The sequence below is a fragment of the Homo sapiens genome, chromosome X (assembly GCF_000001405.40).
Source record: "Homo sapiens chromosome X, GRCh38.p14 Primary Assembly".
NCBI classification, from domain to species: Eukaryota; Metazoa; Chordata; class Mammalia; order Primates; family Hominidae; genus Homo; species Homo sapiens.
The window spans coordinates 130668534-130690930 of record NC_000023.11 but is presented as its reverse complement, the minus strand read 5'-3'; the positions used below and the strand labels follow the sequence as shown (position 1 = coordinate 130690930).

The 22397-nt window shown below is 41.0% G+C and overlaps 1 protein-coding gene across 20 annotated transcripts in view; it reads left to right on the top strand.

Annotated features, from left to right (window-relative positions):
• ENOX2 (ecto-NOX disulfide-thiol exchanger 2) overlaps positions 1 to 22397 on the top strand; it is a 280885-nt gene that overhangs the window by 212279 nt on the left and 46209 nt on the right. For all 20 annotated transcript variants that reach the window (NM_001382521.1, NM_001281736.2, NM_001382520.1 and 17 more), the window contains 3 exons: positions 1913 to 2068; positions 11183 to 11389; positions 20733 to 20966. In NM_001382521.1, the coding sequence (NP_001369450.1) occupies positions 1913 to 2068; positions 11183 to 11389; positions 20733 to 20966 (597 nt within the window). The remainder of the gene's footprint in view (positions 1 to 1912; positions 2069 to 11182; positions 11390 to 20732; positions 20967 to 22397) is intronic.

The window sequence follows — 22397 nt, the reverse complement described above, 5'->3', positions numbered from 1 at the left end:
TTCCCAAACATTTTCAGGGTCTTGACATCACAGGATAAAAAGGCATGTGAGAGGCTGGGTAGTGCCCTAGCTTGCTTGGGCTGCCTTTGTAACAGGGGATGTCCATGTGCCATCTGCCTGCCCAGCTCCAGATCTCCCTCTTATTGTGCCTGTCAGACCTGAGGTTCTGCTTCTGTGGGAATCCTGGGTTTTTCCTGCCATTTAGGTTGACCTCATCCAGCATCTTAGAGACAAAGAGCCACCCAGGGGACTTCAGGGCCACTTTAAGGACATGTGTACAGGCATTGCTCTTCTGGCCTGTGTGGTGAACATGGTGAAGTCTTTGGGAGTAAGTCCTGCTACTGCTGCTGCAACTGCCTCTGCATTACCAGAACCCCTCAGGCTGCAGTACTTTCTTTCTTTGCAGTCCACTTTCTTTCTTTGCAGTCTGCAGGTTCTATAGCGAAGGCAGAAGTGGGAGGCAGAGAAACAAAGAAGTAAAGTGCACTCCCTTCTCTCACAGAAATTCCATTTTGACCTAGAGGCAAGATTTAAACAATGAAATCAATACCAGCCTTAGATCCAGGCAAGTGGGGCTCCTCCTCAGGGACCCCTGTGCTTTGGAATGCCTACCTGGATAATTTCTAAGTCCCCTTCCAGAGCCAAGCACTGGCCAGGCAGGCAGTATCATCAGGGCAGCTGTCCTGGGTCCAGAGCAGCTCCTCCTTGTATTCTGGTTGTAAGAAGTACCTTTCTTGAAATTTTCTAAGTTCCCCTCCAGTGTCTGGGACTGACTGTGACTGGCATTATCATCTGAGAAGCCCCAATCTTAAACAGGACACATGTGTACCTGAGTCCCCATTTCTCCCCTTTGCGATACTATCCAATCCTCTAACCTGTATGTGCAGTGAACTAGATGCCCCAAGAAGCTTCAGGACTCATGGAATCCTCCCCAAAGTCTTGGTTCCAGGAGAGTGGCCTGGCAAGGAAACCACTCCAGCTGGCTGGTGTGGTATTTCTTTCATGGTATCGCGTGAGATTGTGCCACGAAAATGCTGCCAGTACTGATTCGCAGTGAAACAAACCATGTACGTAGATAGGCCCCACAAAAAATACTTGTTTGGGTGCCCCCACACATGCTAGAGGCATCCCTGAATTAAACAAAGAATAATGCAAAATAAAAAAAAAATCAGTGGTAACAGGTATAGAACCTATAGCTTTTAGAGGCAAAGTCAAGAATGAACCAGAATTATCTGGAAAAGCCTCTTCAAGGAAGGTGACACTTAAGCCAGGCCTTGAAGCATGGGGAGAATTTGCGGAGGCCCAAATAATTCCAGGCAGAAAGAAAAACATGAACAAAGGCACAGAGAATAGTTATTTATCAAACCTATGCTCAGCATATTAGATTCATCATTTTGTTTACTCCTCACAGCTTCCTGTAGCGTAGGTGATATTAACCCTATTTTGCAGATGAGGAAATGGAAGTTCATCCTGCTAAGCAAATGGTAGACCTAAAACCCAGGTCTGCTTGATCCCCAAAACTCTGTGCTCTTAATATCATGCTGTACCGTACAAAGAAAACATGTACAAGGGACAGTAAAAAGCCTTCTCGGAATGGAGCAGAGAGTGTGTGTTGGAAACTAGGAGAGGCAAGATCAATAGACAAGGCATGGCCATCCTATGAAAGACCTTGGATGCCACAATGAGATGCAGAGACTTAAATAAGCCCTGGTCAAACCAAACAGCCCCATCCTGAAAGGAAAATGCACAACTATAAGATAATATTTAAGACCTGGGAATACTAAGTACCATGCTTGTTAAATATTTTGCCTCTGTCTTAGAAAGGCCTTTGATTTGAAGCTTACAAAGTAACATTCTATCTCCACTTAACTTTGCCTGGTGTCATTTATTGTTCTCTCTTCTCCTTTTTTAGACTTTGATCCTGCTCTTGGAATGATGACTGGAATTCCACCAATAACTCCAATGATGCCTGGTTTGGGAATAGTACCTCCACCAATTCCTCCAGATATGCCAGTAGTAAAAGAGATCATACACTGTAAAAGCTGCACGCTCTTCCCTCCAAATCCAAGTAATATTCTGCTTTTTTCTCCACACAAGACACAATATTTTAGTGTACAAGAAAGCTTTCTTCTTTCTCAAAAGAATACCCAAGGGCTTCATAGATGTTTGTACGAAAGCTTCACCTAGAGAACAGAAGACAGGAAAATTTTCTCTTGCTAGGCAGGGTTGAATTTTATGCACACAACAGTAGACTTTTGTGTGCAGGTTGCAGTACAAATGATACATGTTTCTAATGCCATCTGGTAAGGAATTCAAGTGTGTTAGTAAAGAAGGAAGCATACAGATTGCTCAACACCATCATCTGCAGTCTTTTCTTTTCGTAACTGCCGCATGTGCTGATGGTGGCAGAGACAGAGTGTGGTCTGAAGCACATGAGAATATACATTTGGTGCTAAGAATCTTCCACTGCTAGCAACTATTCATACATCACTCGAACCACTGCTATTCAACCGATGGGTTGTAATATACAGTGAGGCATGGCTCAACATATTGGAAGGGCAAAGAGGAATATTGAGACTAAGTCACACTACTCATAGCCACCAGTCAATGCAGTTCATGTGGAAGTAATCTAGAGATCCATTTTGTCAGTAATGAGGAGGCTTCTCCTTAGATTCACTTTAAAACATGTGTAAAGATAGGGTGGCCCTATTTTACTTAAAATGTCCCACTAATAATAATTGACTAAAACTTTTTTTCCAGATGCACTTGGGGTTTTATATACATTCAGTGATTAGAAGCTGATTCTGCATGTGCCCCAAGCCTCATTAATGATTTTTCCATAGTTCTAGTCATACTGGGTGGCATACCAAGGGAACCACCACTGCAGTACAAAGATTAGAGCTGTTTGTTAAGAGATACATTCAGTGGTTTAGGGCATAGATCAAATGACCTTGCCTTATCAGGATAAATATGAATCTTTGACATGTGACTTCAGACAAATATTTCATCTCCTACCTTTAATAGGAATCAGTTAATCATGGCCCAAGCCCTGGCAGGGACCCAGATTTTACTTAGTATGGTCTGCTCATAACTGAGAGGATTTTATAATCAATCAGGTTGGTTGGATAGATCATCTTGGCCTCTTTTGCTAGAAAAAAAAAACAGATCTTTATGCTTTCTTCTGGTTTTTGAACGTGGTTGTCAACAAGATACATCCTTCCAGACCAATAAGAAATCTAGGAGGCCAGCATCTCAGAGGACTGTATTGAGAGAAGAGCTAGTATGTCACAAGGAGAATTAGGGAATGGAGAATAAGATGGCCCTTGCAGGCCTTACTTGCCAGCTCAAATGGCCATTCCTGGATTTGTGTTTAGTGCCTAAGTGAATGAGCAGCACCATTTTATCTGTCTCTTACTCTTAGTTCCACTGTCCCTACAAGTGGGCAATGGCCTTTTTTACCTTTCAGCATGTTGCTTTCAGATTAGAGAAAGTTGTATTCCTGATAGTACCTTTTCTACACAAAAAGCCATGAACTTAGGCACTGCCAGTGTTAAAACCTCCTGCTTATGAAAGGGTAGAATCCTGCTGATTAATCATTCATTTATCGCATAATCAGCCTGCAGCAGGCTTTCATTGTCTCAAATATATCTAAGCTAACAGGATGGCTCACAACCTGTAATGTCCAGGTTGGTTGCAGTAGTTTACTTTACAGGATGTTCAGTTTCTAAATTTCTAAAGTACAGATGCCTTGTTTATGACACATAGACCATATTGTTGAGCAGTCTTCAAATGAATCTAGAAATATATAGCTTAAGAAGGCTCTAACTTTTGATAGCCTCTAGTAAAAGAAACGGACTGACATCTCTCAAATACATTTTTATATTTCCCCACCTGCAGCCATGCCTCTACAGTTCTGAGTTGGAAGAACCTCTCACAGAGTGAGAGGGCAGCATATCTCCCCCATGGCTCCGTCTTTTAGTTCTTCATCCTTGTATTGAGAATGCTTACGGGGCAACTAGCACCAGTAAATTGGTGGCTTCTGGGAAGGAACCTGGCCTTGGAATTGAATTCAAACATAAAACTCTTGACACAGCTTAAAGTAAACTGGTGTTCTGTTTGCTTTTTAGAACTTGAGTTTTGTTCAAAGTGGGCTTGGATTACTTGGGTGGAGAAAACACTAATAGAAGTGCTTCTCTTAGTTCTCTGCTGAAAGCATGGCAAAAGTGACATTGTTGTTGGTGGCCCCAAGACATTGCTTTGTGAAGGTGAGATGGGAAGAGCAGGGTAGGAAAGGAAGAACAGGGATTTGGTGTGACTGAACCCTTTATCATCTCAGCCCACCAACCCTGCCTGATCAGGCCTTGATTATTGTATTAGTCTGTTCTCACATTGCTATAAAGAAACACCTGAGGCTGGGTCATTTTTAAAGAAAAGAGGTTGAATTGGCTTATGGTTCTGCAGGCTGTACAGGAAGCATAGTGGCTTCTGCTTCTGGGGAGGCCTCAGGAAGCTTCCAATCATGGCAGAAGGCAAAGATGGAGCGAGGTGTCTCGTGTGGCAGGAGCAGGAACAAGAGAGTGGGGATGAGGTGCTCCTGACTTTTAAACAACCATATCTCACGGTAACTCACTCACTATCACAAGAGCAGCACCAAAAGGATGGTGCTAAATCATTCATGAGAAATCCACCCCCTGATCCAATCACCTCCCATCAGGCCCCACCTCTAACATGGGGTATTACAATTCTACATGAGAATTGGGCAGGAACACAGGGCCGAACCATATCAATTATAAACCCCACTCCTTACTCCTGCCTGCCTCTGGTATATTCTCTTACACTCAATGGCCTCTGAAATTCCTCTCAGCAATAAGGTCCTGTGATTCAGGGACTCATACGGTCTGCTTCTAATTCTTGTTGCTTTATTAGAAAGTATCTTTGCCATCCATTCCCTCCCCTGTGTCCCACCTGACATTTCATCCAAGTGCTTGTCACATATATAGAACCATAAAATTGTCCTGTGGCTCCCACTGCCCACAGATTCATAGTCCAACTCCTGACCTCAAAAACCTTTTACTTGTCTGCTTCATATGACTGTCTTCAATCCATCACTTCTACTTGCCACATACCTGCCATTTAGTCAGGTTCAACTACTTCCTGACCTCATACTCCTCACACTCTCCTCCAGCCCAACTTCAAGCATACCCCTTTCTGGTTCACTTCCACATGGAAGGTATCGGAACTAAAACTGTAGTGAATCACTCTAAGGCATTTTCACTTAAATAGTGAATGCCAAATCTAATGGATTTCTTTCCCTCACACAGTGCGTTTAATCTGTGAGAAAATTATGTCAGTCTACCTAACAACATATGTCTGTAATCCTTCCATATTCACAATAACCACTGCTATGATTTAGTTTGTATCTGCCATGATTCATTTTCTAAATTATTGTAATAGCCTTCTAATTAGTCTTCCTTCTTCACCCTTGCCCCCTACAGTCTATTCTGAACAGAACAGACAGAGTGATCCTTTTAAAACCTAAGTCTGATCATGTAATTCCTCTACTCAGAACCCTTGAATGGCTCCCCATTTCACTCACAATAGAGACTAAAGTCCTTTTAATTGCCTAGAAGGTCAGATATGATCTGTTCCTCCCCTCCATTGTCTCTTTGACTTCATCTCCTACTCTCCTCCCCATCTCTTCCTCTGTTCCGGTCACACTGACCTTCATGCTGTTCCATGAACACACCAGCCACTCTCCCATCATAGGGCCTTTGCGCTAGCTCTTCCACCTAGCTAGAACACTTCCCCTCTAAATATCTGCGTGGCTAACTCTCTCACTTCTTTCAAGTCTTTGCTCAAATGTCACTTTCTCAGTGACCCTGATAACCTATTTAAAAATTATCTCTCTGCCACAGTCCCAATCCTATTTACCTTCTCTATTTTTTATAAAACATGTTTCTTTTTTTTGAGACAGGGTCTCCCTCTGTTGCCCAGGCCAGAGTGCAGTGGTGTGATCTTGGCTCACTGCAGCCTCCACCTCCTAGGCTCAAGTGATCCTCCTGCCTCAGCCTCTCGAGTAGCTGGGACTGCAGGCATGCCCCATCATGCCCAACTAATTTTTGTATTGTTTTTAAAGACAGGATTTTGCCATGTTGCCCATACTGGAGTTATTACCTTTTAACCAACTATATAATTTGTAGAATATAAACCCCACGAAGGCAGAATTTTTGTCTTTTTTGTCTCCTGATGTATCACCAGCACTTAGAAAAGTGTCTTACATATAGTAGGTGTTCAATAAATATTTGTTGAATGATGGTGGGAGGGAGGATTGGATGGATGATGACAGAAGGAGGGGTCAGAGGTCTAGAAAGCAAAGCAAGAGAGTATGAGGTAATTACTACTACATGCTAATGACTTCCAAATCTATATTTTTAGTCTATATCTCTTCTAAGCTTCAGATACATGTAGCCAACTGCCTACTAGACTATTCTGGGTGTGTCTACATCAAATGTACAAAAAATGGTATTATAGTATAGAGGACAGACTACCAGTTTATAAATCAAGACAACTGTGTTCTATTCCCAAGTCTGTCACTAACTAGCTGTGGGATCTGGGGATAGTCATATAACCTCCTTGGTCTCAACCTCCTTGTGTGTAAAGCAAAAATATTGTGTTAGATTAGCCTAGATACCTCTAATGCTTCATCCAGCTCTAAAGTTATGATTCTCTACATTAAAAATGTAGCTACCACAATAATTATTTACATAGGCAAAAGCCCTTTAAAATGCATTAGGAAAAGCAAGGGCTGGTTGGCAGGTAGCATGTAGAGCTTTGTACCTTCTCTGGAGCAGGCACTATAGCATAATGGGTAAGTTTTCAAGCTCAGAAGTGACACAGGCCAGCCTGGTTTCATATCCCAGCTCTCCACCACTAAATAGCCATAAGATCTCTGATAAGGATCTTAACTTCTCTGTTGTAGACTAGGCAAAATCAGACCTGGTCTAAAAAGTCAATGGATCAAACTAGACTGGAGCAGACCAAGTACCAGTCTCCTAAAGATAAATGGTGAGTGAGTACCCCATTGTTGCAGAAGCAACATTCTCTGATTTCCAGGAAACTGAGATATAACAAGAAAAAAATAAGTGCCCTGGAACACACTTTTTTTTTTTTTTCACAGAGTGTCTATCAGAGATTTACTGAATTCCCAATTAGCAGTTCTTAGTGGTGAAAAAAAAGGGTAATACGATTCTCTCCAGAAAATTTGATTTTGCCAAGATTTTTCACTTCAGCGATTAGACCTTCTATGGAGAGGTTACATTTTGAGTCTACTGGGAAATAACAGTGAACAGGGAATAAGTAATGGAATATCATCTGCTATCCGTCTCCAGGAACATGGGAAAATACCCAGGAGCCAGAAAAAGAGCAAGAACAATGTTTTCATTTTACCATATCAAAATGGGAAGACTCTCAGGGCTGAATGCTATAAAGAGAGTTAGAGAAATTGAGCATTAATTAAAATTCCCCAGCCTTCTAATTTTTCCAATCAGTTGGGATTACATTAAGATACATTTAACCCCTGCTGATTGTCCAGGGGACCTTCAATCTTGAGCTGTCTAATAAAATCGACTTAAAGACTTTGCAGTATATAAATCCTGGCAAACCAGCTGAGTGATCTGTGATGCTCCTTTGAAAAGCAAGATTCAAGTGGCTTATCGGTTCTCTATACTGCTTCCTGCCTCACTTCTCAAAGATCAGCAATGACTCAGATTGCCCCAACATAGCTCCCCAGAGTAGATGCTTGGGTATAATTAGAATTGCTAAAAGCTCCTCCTTTTCCATTACCAGAGATTAGAGTTCTTTTTATTCCCAGTTATCTTGAATCTTTGTACATGGAACTTTTCTTTGTCTCCATCCTGAGTGGTGATTGGGGTGCTATAGAGCTTAGCACATTACCTGATTAATAGGTGGGCTTTGAATTTGCTCTCCTATGGGTTATCATTGCTGTGCCCTGATCACTGTATTTCAGTGGGATTAGAAAATCAGGCCCAGACGACAAAGTGCTTTGAGCTGTTAATTAAGGAATGGGTACTATCCATTAAGGAAGATAGTATAGCCCATTGCCCTGCTTGGTGGCATACCCCTAAATCTCAGCAAATGCTATTAAAGAGGCTTTCTACATTTACCCAAGGAAAATAAATAAATCCTCAGCATTCTTGACATTACTCTTAGTGGCTTTTATGCCCTTTTACTTAGAAAACAGTCACCACAGAAGAATCACAGCACCTAAATAGGGTGATGACTTCATCACAGAATTTTTTTTTTTTTTTTTTTTTTTTTTTTTTTTTTTGAGACGGAGTCTCGCTCTGTCACCCAGGCTGGAGTGCAGTGGCAAGATCTTAGCTCACTGCAAGCTCCGCCTCCCAGGTTCAGGCCATTCTTCTGCCTCAGCCTCCCAATTAGCTGGGATTACAGGCACGTGCCACCATGCCCAGCTAATTTTTTGTATTTTTAGTAGAGACGGGGTTTCACCGTGTTAGCCAAGATGGTCTCCATCTCCTGACCTCGTGATCCGCCCACCTCAGCCCCCCAAAGAATTTTTAAATCCCACAAATGTAGCCAGGGGATGGAGCCTTTGCCTTTTCAGTGTTACATGTAACTGCCACAGTAACCACATGCTTTTTAGAGTCTCTCAGTGGACCTAAAGGTAGACTAAAGGAAACTCAAATGGTATAAAAGTGATTACTAACTTCACAAAAGGATTCTTTGCCACCTAATTCTCCTAAATAGTAAACTTAGGAAGCCTTTTTGATTCTGAAACAGGATTGTATTCTAAAGTCTCTAATTTTAAAACATGGTTCTAACTATATGGATACTCTTGGAAATTCTTTACCTTATATAGTCGGTGGGGGGGGGGGTTGTGTTCCATGGTCAAAGCCATATGTATCTTCATAGCTGTAGATTTCTCTATCCATATGAGTGGTTCCTTCTCAAACCCAGCCTTGTCTAAAGATCTGTGTGACACTAAGATCTGGAAGTTTAGAAGTTCAGGTCTTAGCTACCACTCTACTCCAGACTTCTGGTAGGACTTTAGAAAGTCCCAGATTGGGAATTAAGAAACCTGGGTTCTATAATAGTAAATAATAATAACGCTACAATGACTGCTATTTATTGGGAACCGGCCAAGTGCTAGGCATTGAGCCACATGCAATATAGACAGTATATTATCGGTTATCCTACAATAACCCTTGTAAGGTGGGAACAGCATCCCTGTTTTAAAGATGAAGGAAGAAGTTTTCAGGGGTTATATAATTTTCCCAAGGTTATACAGTCAGTTATGAAGTTAAGATTTACATTTAGGTTTACCTGCTCCAAGTTCATGTTCCTTCTCTCTAATGTGGTGACCTGGAATGAGACATTTAACCTCACTAAGCTTTTTCCTCTGTAATATCAGAGATTTAGACTAAGTCAATAGTTTTCAACCTTAACTACACATTACAACTGCCTGAGAAGCTTAAAAAGCAACAAAAACAAAAAAAAACGAATGCACAGGCTGCACCCCAGACTAATTAAATAAATCAGACCCACTGGGGTGGGACCCAGGCATTATTTGTTTAACTTCCAAATTGATTCAAATGTGCCACCAGAGTTAAGAATCACTGGAAGTGTGATGGCTAGAATCCCTTCCAGTTCTTAAAAACTCAAAAGCATAAGTCTCAAACAATTCTAGACCTCATCTTCTCTATTTTGGCCCAAACTACAACCTCTTCAGTGCTTGTGACTAAGACATTTCAGATTCCTGCTCACTAGGTTATTTTCCCTTTCCCTCTAATCCTTTCATATGGAACAAAAAACCAGTACAGTGAGGTCTTGAAATTACAGACTTGTAAAAATTAACAGAAAGTTTGTAAGTTCCCTGAATCCCTTTACCCCTTTTTTTGACCAAATACAGGGAAAGAGAGTATTATGAGTAACTGATTATTCTTAGCCACACCAACAAGACAGAGAGTAGTAGCAAAGTGAGGAAGCTAGAGATCCTGATACCCAAGGAGGCTCCCAAATCAACTGCTTGCCAACTTGGATAAGAGTCAGGTTGGGGGCCTTGGCCTAATCTATGAACATGACTCATTTATTTTTGCATGTGAGCTATAATCACTGGTTGTTGAGCTCTCCAAATCTTGAGCTAGGAGAATTGTTGTTAAGAGCTGAATGGAAAAGAATGGATTACACAAAATAAATCCTTGCGGATACAAAACCAACACTAGAAAACCCATGACCATCATGCTTTGTTTTGTTGGGCTACAAACTGTAGGAGTTTGCTTGGAAATTGCTTTGATACATATAAATAGCAACAAAGAGCTGGCAGATAGAACAGGCTTTATGTTTAAGATGAGTGCATATTTTTTTGAAGCAGAGGGAGAATCATCTCATTAAGTAGGTTTTTAATGATTCTCTATGGCCAAATTTATCTCACTTTAGTTAATGATTTCCCAGACGAGCTTATTTTCTCTGCTGTCTTTCATATTTCCCTGTAAATGCTGCAAGACAGACTCTGGACCTCACCTCTCCAGCAAGGAATTTGAGGAAAGGCTCACTGATATTGAAAAAAACAACATAAAAGGGATGGTTTGTACTCTGACTGATTTTGTGAAACCAAATCATTCTGACAGCTGTAGGCATTGTTGTAAGTAGGTACCCCATCATTGTCAAATTAATCCTGAATCTGTTCCTTCAAAAAGCATTAACAGAGAGAATGTAGTAACTACAATCTGAATTAAACAAATCCTTCCTCAGGAACCCTGGTTCTGAGAACTCTTGAAAATAACAGTTTAAACTGAGTGGGATTTTCTCCCACTAATTTCTTAATAAAAATGACTAAAAATTTGGCATAGCTGGATTGTCACAACAAAAGTAACGAACAAAACTAAAGGACTCTGGATGGGACAGACAAATAGGCCTGGGTCTTTATGCTCCAGATATCATGGTCAGCAAACGATTGAATAAAATGATTTTCAGGTTCACTCAGTCAGTTTTCTGTGGAGCAGAGATGAACACCTCAGAGGCCACATCCTTCTGACACTCTTAGACAAAAGTTTGACAGGGATAGCAGGGAAATGTTAGATTTCGAAGAGGTCTGTCCCAAGCAAACATTTTAATTTCAAATGTTTTTGCCCTTACAACTTAGATCTCCCACCTCCTGCAACCCGAGAAAGACCACCAGGATGCAAAACAGTATTTGTGGGTGGTCTGCCTGAAAATGGGACAGAGCAAATCATTGTGGAAGTTTTCGAGCAGTGTGGAGAGATCATTGCCATTCGCAAGAGCAAGAAGAACTTCTGCCACATTCGCTTTGCTGAGGAGTACATGGTGGACAAAGCCCTGTATCTGTCTGGTAGGTGTTTAGATGTGAGGATTGTGCCCACCAGGCACAACGCAGATATTAAAGATAGAACTATTTGTGTCTATAGCAGATAAGTTTGGGCTTAGTATTACCTGCTCTTGCCTTCAGAGGTGGAAACTGAATGTTCCCATTCAACTTCTTCCTTTAAAGCTCTTCAGTAGCTCCCAGTTGTCTATGGGATAAATCCAGACTCCTCACATGTGGCATCTAAAGGCCTTGACTGTGGGCTGTCCTTCTTAGAGTCATCTCCCAGTCCTTCCTTCCCTCACACACCATGTCCCAACCACACTAAGTGAACTCGAATTCCCAGAATGTGCCATGGTGTTTTATGCCTTTTCCTCTGACTAGAGTCACCCTGCCCACCACACACACCCCCTAAAGCTCCAGCTCAAGCACACCCTCCTCTGGAAAGCTATCTCTGACCTGTCTCCCCACTCTGCCCAGCACTGCTTTAGGCACTCCTTCCTCAGGGCTTTCACAGCACCTGGTGCTTCCTCCCAACATGACACCTACTGTACCATGCTAGAACTGTCTCTTTCCACATCCATCTCCCCCACCAGAACGTGAAATCCTTAAGGGCAGGGACTGTGTCTTATTTAACATTGAATCCCCAGCATCTAGCACATAACCTGGCACAAAAGTAGATACTCATAAATAGTTATGGAAGTCAGTTATTTGTCAAATATTTATTGACTGCTAGGCAGAATGCTAGGTTGCTGGGGATGCAGCAAAGGGTGAGGCAGATAGACTTCCTGTCATCAAGGATTTTACATTCTGGAAATGGCAAAATATAATATATATGAAAACAAATAAATAAGTTACTTTCAGTACTAAGTGCTCCGAGGAAGATAAAAAAGGTTAAGGTACCCAGAGTTGTTAGGAAAGGAAGTCTTCTCTGACATTTGAACTGAGACTTGAATAATGTGAAGAGAGATTGCCATGTAAACATCTTGGGGAAGAGCGTTCCAAAATAAGGAACACCAAGCCAAAGTCCGTGAGATGAAAATGGACTTGGTATGTTCAAGCAGAGGATAGAAAGTTAGTATGACTGGAGCATAGAAAATGAGAGAGGGAGTGGAGGGAAATGAAATCTGAAAGGCAGGCAACTATGACAATGAGTTTTATTCTGGAAGCCACTGGAGGATTTTAAGGAATTCAGTGACATGATCTGATTTACATTTTACAAATGTTACTTCTGAGCAGAAGATGGGCTGAGAGGTATGAGCAGGAGTGGTGACTGGGAACTAAGTTAACCAGCTGTAATATTAGTCTAACCCAGAAGTGATGGTGGCCTGTATAGTACAGTGGTTGGAGTGGAGATAGTAAGAACTACTTTGCATAAAATCTCCTGTTTATAGTAAAAATTCAGATTTAGGGTGTGTCTTGGTCCATTTTCTGTTGCTTATAACAGAATATCTGAAACTGGGTAATTTTTTTTTTTTTTTAAGATGGAGTCTTGCTCTTGTCGCCCAGGCTGGAGTGCAATGATGTGATTTTGGCTCACCGCAACCTCCGCCTCCTGGGTTCAAGCAATTCTCCTGCCTCAGCCTCCCGAGTAGGTGGGATTACAGGCGCCTGCCACCACGCCCGGCTAATTTTTGTATTTTTAGTAGAGATGGGATTTCACCTTGTTGGCCAGGCTGGTCTCGAACTCCTGACCTCAGGTGATCCACCCACCTCGGCTTCCCAAAGTGCTGGGATTACAGGTGTGAGCCATCATGCCTGGCAAAACTGGGTAATTTATAAAGAAAAGGAATTTATTTTTTATAGTTATGGAGGCTGGAAGTCTAAGGTCTAGGGGGCACATCTGGTAAGGGCCTTCTTGCTCTCTGCAGAGAGTTAGCTCAGGTCTTTCTTCCTCTTATAAAGCCACTAGTCCTACTCTCATGACAACCCATTAATCCATTAATCTGTGAATGGATTAATCCATTTATGAGGACAGAGACTTCATGACCCAATCACCTCTTAAAGGCCCCAGCTCTTAATACTGCCACATTGAACTACTTCTTTGCCTAACAGTAATGGTTTGGAAGAATTGAGTCTAAGTGCTAGACATTTCATGATGACAGCATCTTCATTGGTATAACAGGTACTTATTGAACATCTTTTTTCTGTAAACTCTTGTGCTAGATGCTATGCAGAGTAGAAAATGAGTAAAACCTAGTTCTTCCCCTTAATGAATTTAGGGTTAGTATGTAGTCATACACTTATTTATTAAAGAAAAATGTATTTAGTGCCAGGCATTACTCAATACACTGATATGATACACACACTGCTAATAAGAGATTAAAAGTTATAAGTGCCATGGAGGAGGAAGTGAGGGAGGAAGGTAGGAGAGGGAGAACGAGAATATTTCTGACTCCTAACTGGGGGCATCAAGAAAGGTAGCTTTTGGACCAAGTCTTTGACAAAGGGAAAACATTTGCTTGTGGACAATGGGGCATGAAAACAGCATGAGCAAAAGTACAAAGGTGGTAAGCTTTGGCAAACATTCAGGAAACAGTGAGTAGTGGTTTGTTTACTAAGTAGACATGAGAGGAGGAGGCAAAATATCAGTTATTAGCACACTCCAAAAGGCTTAACAGTTGGGTCTTTACTCCTCAGGTAATAGGGAATTGAAGAAATTTTTGAACAAGGAAGATAATTATTTCCGCAAGATTAATTTGACAGCTCTATATAAAACTGTATTAGAGGAGAGATGTGAAAAGAGGAGAGGAGGTCAGTTAGAAGCCTGTTGTAATAGGCCAGGGAAAAGGTAACAAAGGTTTGAAAAAGTAGGCTGGTAACATGGGTAAGGAAAGGAGGAGGTGTAGATGGAGAATACTCTTTTTACATTTGGTAAGTGCTATAGAATCTAATTACCAAAAATTCGGCAGCACTTAATAATAACAGAGCATTCCACGAGACTATTTTAATAAGAACATAAAGGTCTCAAAAAACCCTGCGTAGGTGTACTTAAAAGACAATATACTGTTCAGGAAGCATCCATCTAAACATCACCAAAATCAGCTCTCTGTTAACAGCCACCTCCTAGAAACATTCTTAGGGCTGCCAAAAGAAAGGGGATTTCCATCAGTGATATGAAAACAACTAAATTTTGCCCTTTAAATTTGAATCTGTCCCCCTGAAAGTGCCCAAGTGCTAGCAATCTCCTGAATGGGGTGGCTGTTATCTCATTTTGTAAAAGAAAGCAGTTAAAAGAAACAAAAAAAAAATCCCTTACAAAAGGGGGCTAGAAAATGTGGAGATCTTCATTTTTTTTCTGATGGAATTGGAGCACCTTTGGGAGCTGGCACTGTGCACAGTGCACCCACCCCATAGCATTGTAGCATCTTTAATGAGGTTTATGTAGAGCTTTCATCTCATCCTCTCATTTGATCCTCTCCACAGTTCTGGGAGAATAGGCAAGGTAATCATTGGTAGCCCCATTTTTCTGATGGCTCAGATGATCAAATAAGATGAATGGATGTGCAAGTGTATTATAAACTGTAAAGAGCCCTAGAAAGGCTTGCTTATGAAATGTATTCATTCTTCCTTTTTCTAAAAAGAATGTATGACAGTTTTGGCATTACTGGGTAATATTATTCTTTGTAACAGCTTTAATTAGCTATAATAATTTAATTTTAGTGAGGTATAATAATTGACATACAATGATCTTAACATATTTCAAAAATACAATTATATAATATTCTATATATGTATTCAGGTATGAAACCATCACCAACAATGAAAATAATGAATATGTCTGTTATCCCCAAAAGCTTCCTTTACACCCCTTTTGCAATCCTGTCCTTCTACCCCTCACCACTCTCCCTTCAGGCAACCATTTATCTGTTCTCTATCAGATTAGTGTCATTTTCTAGAACTTTACATAAATGGAATCACACATTGTGTATGCTCTTCCTTCCTTTCTATAGATCCATATTTCCACTTGGTGTCATTTTCCCTATGCTTGAATTTCCTTTAACATTTTTTGTAGAGCAGGTCTGTTCCTGATGAATTCTTTCAACGTTGATTTGAAAAAGTGTTTCACCTTTCTTTTTGAAAGATGTTTGTCCTCTCTCAGATGTTGTTCCACCATTTTCTTGCTTGCATTGTATCCAACAAGAAATGTGATGTTATCTTTATCTGTGTTTCTCTGTACATAATGTGTCTTTTGTCCATGGATGCTTTTGAGATATTTAAATCAAAACCACAATGAGATACCATCTCACACCAGTTAGAATGGCAATCATTAAAAAGTCAGGAAACAACAGGTGCTGGAGAGGATGTGGAGAAATAGGAACACTTTTACACTGTTGGTGGGACTGTAAACTAGTTCAACCATGTGGAAGTCAGTGTGGTGATTCCTTAGGGATCTAGAACTAGAAATACCATTTGACCCAGCCATCCCATTACTGGGTATATACCCAAAGGACTATAAATCATGCTGCTATAAAGACATATGCACACGTATGTTTATTGCGGCACTATTCACAATAGCAAAGACTTGGAACCAACCCAAATGTCCAACAATGATAGACTGGATTAAGAAAATGTGGCACATATACACCATGGAATACTATGCAGCCATAAAAAATGATGAGTTCATGTCCTTTGTAGGGACATGGATGAAATTGGAAATCATCATTCTCAGTAAACTATCACAAGGACAAAAAACCAAACACCGCATGTTCTCACTCATAGGTGGGAATTGAACAATGAGAACACATGGACACGGGAAGGGGAACATCACACTCTGGGGACTGTTGTGGGGTTGGGGGAGGGGGGAGGGATAGCATTAGGAGATATACCTAATGCTAGATGACGAGTTAGTGGGTGCAGCGCACCAGCATGGCACATGTATACATATGTGACTAACCTGCACAATGTGCACATGTACCCTAAAACTTAAAGTATGATAATAATAATAAAAAAAGATATTTATTGCTGGTTTTGAGCAATTCAATTATGATATGCTTTGATGTAATTTTCTTCTTGTTTCTCGTGCTTGGGGTTCATTGAACTTTTTGGATCTGTGAGTTTGGATCAAATGTGAAAAATTTTCTCCCCTTATTTAATTTTTTTCTGTTCTCTTCCCCTGTCTTTTGGTGCTCCAATTAGGCATATATTAGGCCCCTTGAAGTTGTCTCGCAGCTCACTGCTATTCTGTTCTTTTTTTTTTTTTCAGTCTTTTTTCTTTCTGTATTTTATTACAGATAGTTTCTATTGCTAGGTCTTCAATTTCATTCATTTTTTTCATTATAGATGCGGGGGCACCTGTGCAAGTTTGTTACATGAGTATATTGTGTAATAGTGAGCTTTGGGCTTCTAGTATACCCATCACCCAAATAGTGATTATTATATCCAATAGTTAATTTTCAACCCTCATTCCCCTCCCACACTCTTCACTTTTGGAGTCCCCAGTGTCTATTATCTATCTTTATGTGTACCCATTGTTTAGCTCCCACTTATAAGTGAGAACACATGGTATTTGATTTTCTGTTTCTGAGTTATTTCACTTAGGATAATAGCCTGCATTTACATTTTAAAGTATTACTAAATTCACACATCCAAAAGCCCAATCTTCATATAATCCAGTGAGACAGGAGAAAAGAAATGCTTCTCTTTTGCTGCTTTCAGAATTTTTTCCTTCACATTGGATAATCTGATGCCTATATGCCCTGATGATATTCTTCTTGCAAAATATCTTCCAGGTGTTCTCTGAGCTTCTTGTACCTGGGTGTCTACATCCCTTGCAAGACCAGGCAAATTTTCCTGGATTATTCCCTCAAATATGTTTTTCAAAGTTTTTACTTTTATTCTTCTCACTCAGGAATGCCTATTACTCATAGGTGTGGTTGCTTTACAGAATCCCAAATTTCTCAAAGGCTTTATTCATTGTTTTAAATTCCTTTTTTATTATTTTTGTCTGACAGGGTCAGTTCAAAAGACCAGTGTTCAAGCTCTGAAATTCTTTCTTCTGCTTGGTATAGCCTGTTATTAAAGCTTCCGACTGTATTTTCTAACTCCTTCAGTGAATTTTTAATTTCCCTAAGTTCTGTTTTTTTTTTTCAAGATCTCTATCTCTTCTTTCATATCCTGCATTGTTTTTCTCGTTGCTTTGTGTTAGTTTTCAACTTTCTCTTGGATCTCATTGAGCTTCCTTACAATCCATATTTTGAATTCTTTGTCGTTTCAGAATTTTCATTTTCATTAGGATCCATTGCTAGACAGCTAGTGTGATCTTTTCGGGGTGTTGCAACACCCCGAGTTCTTACACTGGTTCCTTTTCACGTGGGGAAGCTGTCACTTCTTATTTTTGAATCTAATTTCATTTGGATGGGACGTCCCCCAACTCCGAAGATGTGACTGTAGCGTATGTTGGGTAGGGTCCTTTGGCTTTGCTTCTTTAGCCCTGTGCACTTCTGTCAGCAGGTGTCCTATTGTGCTGTGCAGTTTAACCTCCTGGTGAGTAGGTGGCGCCTACAGGTAAGAGCCACCTGTGGCAGAAGCAGATCGGTATGTACTGGATGTTTTCTTACTGTGAGGTGCTCTCTGTTCTTTCAGATGATGGGCTGGTCTGTGAAATTCCAGGTTCCCTATTCAGCCCAGGGAGAGTGGATGGAGGACAAAGCTGGGTGGAGCTGGACAAACAAGCTCACCCACGAATAACCCAATGATGAGCACAGGCAGCACCCCTGACAGGAGTGGCTAGGGGAACTCTTGGAGAAATGTGCCGAGGTCTCTTCAGGGGATGAGGGGGCCACATCAGCTCCACTTCTTAGACAGGCAGGATCACAATGTTTCTCTGTCACAACCCTCTCCTGGGGCTCCTGACTCAGTTTACACACTGTCCATCTATCTCCAGGCTACCATGTAGCTGAAAGGAGTGACTTTGGGGAGGAAGCTCTTCCCTCAGCCCAGTACAGACAGCTTTGTGGCTCACCTATTCTTTTACACAGCTCTGTGTAAAGACGGGGAGGGACTCTGCCTTTCAGCATGTGAGAGTGGGAGGCAACTGTGGGGGTGCCGGCTGCTTGGGCCCAACCTCAGGCCTCAGGCCAAGTGGTCAGGCGCCAGCAGTGATGGACTGAGCTAAGCAGTCCTTCAATTCCCAGGCCCCTAAGTGGCCCACTGGATGGTGTGCGGGGGCCCTGGAGGGACTCCACCAGGACCGGGCCAGCAGGCTTATTCTCAGGCCCCCAGGGTTCAGGTGGTGGCTGCGATAGGGAGGGCAGGCTGGTCCCCAGTCACCATTAGAATTCTCAGGTGGGTGCAGGCAGAAGGCTCAGGTGCTGGGAGCCCCCAGTTTCATTAATTTTTTTCTTATGCAGCATCTAATTTGCCATCAGTCCTGTCTGTTGATGTTTTTTTCAACTTAGACATTGTAGCTTAAGCCTGTAGATGTTTGATTGTGGCTCTTTTTATATCTTTCATGTTTCTCCTTAGTATGACCAGTCTTTTCTCTAGCTTCTTGAGCATGTGAAATCAAATTTTCATCATTGTTTTTGTATCCTTATCTACTAATTAAATTATCTGCATCACTTCTGGGTCTGTTTGGATTGGCTGATTTTTAAAATCTTTATTATGGGTCATATTTTCCTGCATCGTTGCATTCCAAGTAATTTTTTTATTAAAGTTTACCTTATTTGGTGGCATATTTTTATTTCTATAAATAGTCTTGAGTTTTGTTCTAAATGCAGTTAAGTAACTTGGGAAAATTTTGGTCCTTTTAGGTCTTGCTTCTTAAGCTTTGTTCAGCAAGACCAGAGGAGTTTAGGGCTAATTTTTCTCCACTATTAAGGCAGAACCCTTCTGATCACCCAGTACCAGAAGTGTGAGTTTTTCTGCTCTGGCTGGTAGGAAAAGGAGCTATTCCCAACCCTGTGGGAGCTTTTCAGGGATTGTTACCTCTAATGCTCAGGTAGTTTCCCACACATATAGACATTAGTACTCAGCTAAATAATAGTGGAGGACCCTCTGCATATCTCTGAAGCTCTTTCTCTGTGCAGCTTTCTTCTTTCTGGTACTCTGCCTTATGAACTCTATTTCCATAGTCTTCCTAGACTCCCAGTTCAGTCTCCTTAACTTGGGAACACCATCGTGCCCTGTCTGAGTTCCCTTCCCTGTGCTGAGGCCCAAAAACTCTCTTATTAGGAAACTTTCTTATTAGGAAATAAACTGGGGCAATCATAGGGATCACTTCATTTGGTTCTTGTCTCTCAGTGATCCCTGTCTTCATTGTCTTATGTACAGTTCTTTAAAAAGCATTATTTCATATATTTTATCCATATTTTTAGTTGTTTAAGGTAGGAGGACAAATCTAACCCGTTACTCTATCTTAGCCAGAAGCAAAAGTCTATGTTGGGTATTATTCTTGAGAGGCAGGTTAGAATAAAGGAAAGCACAGAGTCTAATGTCCTGGATTCAAGAGCCAGCTCTACTGTTTGCTAATTGTCTGACCCAGGGCAAGCCACTTAACCTCCCTAACCTCTTTTGATGCTCAGTTTTCTGTTTGGTATAATGTTCTACCCTTCTACCCTGCAAGCTTGTGCTGATAATGAAATGAGATAAATTCCTATGGAAGTATCTAGCTGAGCTCTTGAAACTGAAAAAGTACTTAGTTTTTTCCCCACTTTTTTTAAGATACATGACTTGGGTAAGTATAGCTGGCACAGAAAGAGGAGGTATGGAGTTGAATCAGGTTTTCTGAATCCCAGTCCTATACTACTATATTATAATCACACTACATCTTTTTTTTTAAGGATCCCAAATTATATGTCACCTGGGTCACACATCACTCCCCATCTTTTTTTTTTTTTAGAAAAAAAATGGCTCACAGTTGACAAATGCTTCTAGGAAGCAATTTTAGGGATTAAAATACCAAGTTAATGCATTTAAGTTTTACCAAAATCTTTGTGATAGTATAATGGACACTCTTGAATTTATTTAAAGACAAGTTCGTTTGAGGCCACCTTTTCCATTCTTCCCAGCCCTTGGTGCCATATAACGATCATGCTTGATACTATTACCCACGGAGCCAACCTCAGCCAGAGGTAAGGTATTAGATGGAGGAATGGAACTCTTAAGAACAAGACTAACCCAACCCATAGAATGTGAGCTATTATCAGAGATAATCTAAATCTTTTGATGATTTACTTGCTAAGCATGGGGAGAGAATTTGGAGTTGTGTGGTCACTTGGAACTGCTGCAGTGACATCTGAAACACTGAACTTGGAAAAGTATGTATAGTCTTTCATGTCTCTCTCTCTCTCTGTCTCTGTCTCTCTCTCCCTCTACTTCTCTCCTTCTCTCCCTCTCTCCTCTCCCTTTCACCCTCCTGTGGACTTAGGTTACCGCATTCGCCTGGGCTCTAGTACTGACAAGAAGGACACAGGCAGACTCCACGTTGATTTCGCACAGGCTCGAGATGACCTGTATGAGTGGGAGTGTAAACAGCGTATGCTAGCCAGAGAGGAGCGCCATCGTAGAAGAATGGAAGAAGAAAGATTGCGTCCACCATCTCCACCCCCAGTGGTCCACTATTCAGATCATGAATGCAGCATTGTTGCTGAAAAATTAAAAGGTATCAAAGGCACTCAAGCTTCATGATTAAAAGAACTCTTTTCTTTAGAGAAGTGTCATAAATATAATTGCATTGTTGACAGTTACACTTTGAGTTTCCTACTAATGGATTCTAAGCATTTCTTGTGTTGGAGCCTTGCAGATAGAGAGGTGTACCTAGTAACTCAAGAACCAGGAAATTTATCCCTACTACCTGTGTCTGCTCCTTCATTGTCTCAAGGGATGGCATTTTTCTCTTCAGACATCAGGTGACTAGAAATAAACAAGTTTTCCTCACTTTCCACGTCAGAGACTTTTAGGCATGATCTATGACTTGGGACCTGTAAGCGCCCTCTTTTATAGTGGATACAAGTTAGGTTATAATTCCAAGTCAAATGAGTGAATCAGGATGATAGGATTTGATGTGATCCTGAAAAACTCTGGTAAAATTCTTGTTTTAAAGATGAGAAAATGGAGGTCCAGAAAGTAGTCATGCTGTACATTCTTCTTAGATGACTCAAAGACTTAGCCACCACCAACTAAAACATAAAGACTTTTAAATCACTTTAAAAGGCCAGTTTATTTAAAACAGTGACTGTGGAAACGTGTAGACATTGCTTAATCAGACTGCTTTCCCATTAGTTTTGATTCTTGTTCCCCTTGTTTGACTCTCAGCCATTTTGTTAATTTAACATTAATTGCTCTGCCTGGTCTCCTGTCTTAGTAGCTCAAATCCAGTCTTTCTCATTTTCTGAGTATAGATGATTTTATTGGATGAATGCTGGTGTCCCATTGATCTTATTGGTAACACCAATCCAGCTCTAATGGTATGAATTTTCCCTGCTTCTTGTGTTCTCAACTCATCAAGATACTGCTAACCCTACTTTCCAAATAGGTCTCCTTCACCAGACATGTTTGTACCACATAGCCTAAGGGATTCACACATGTAAGAAATTGGTTTTGACTTTCTTTAAGGGAAAAGCAGAAAACCTAGAGTCCAGAATAGAGGCACAGAAATAATGGTACATTTTGAAAAACTGGAAAGGCTGAAAGCATTGGTAAGACGCCAGGTCCAAGACTTGCCTAGTCACACAACACCAAACAAATCAGTTTAAGTTTAAAAAAATGAATTTAATGGGTGTGTGACCTTCAAGAGAAGCAAAAACTGAGCATCAACATAAAGTCTATATCTAAGTAATAAAGTGAAAAGCTGCTATAAAGGGGAGGCTGACTGCTTGTTATATGTCTGCACTGAAAAAGGGGCAAGAGGCAAGAAGTTCAAACTGCAGTGAAGGAAATTTCCATTTAACATAAGGGTTTCTAGCCAGAGAAGGATGTGAAGCCCTTGAATTGGGCTTCAATAGATCCAAATGTACTCTCCCTCTCTGGAGCCTTTAAGAACAGAAGGCATAAGTGGCTATCTTGGGGAGCTGAACCAGAAGCTTTGGAAGAG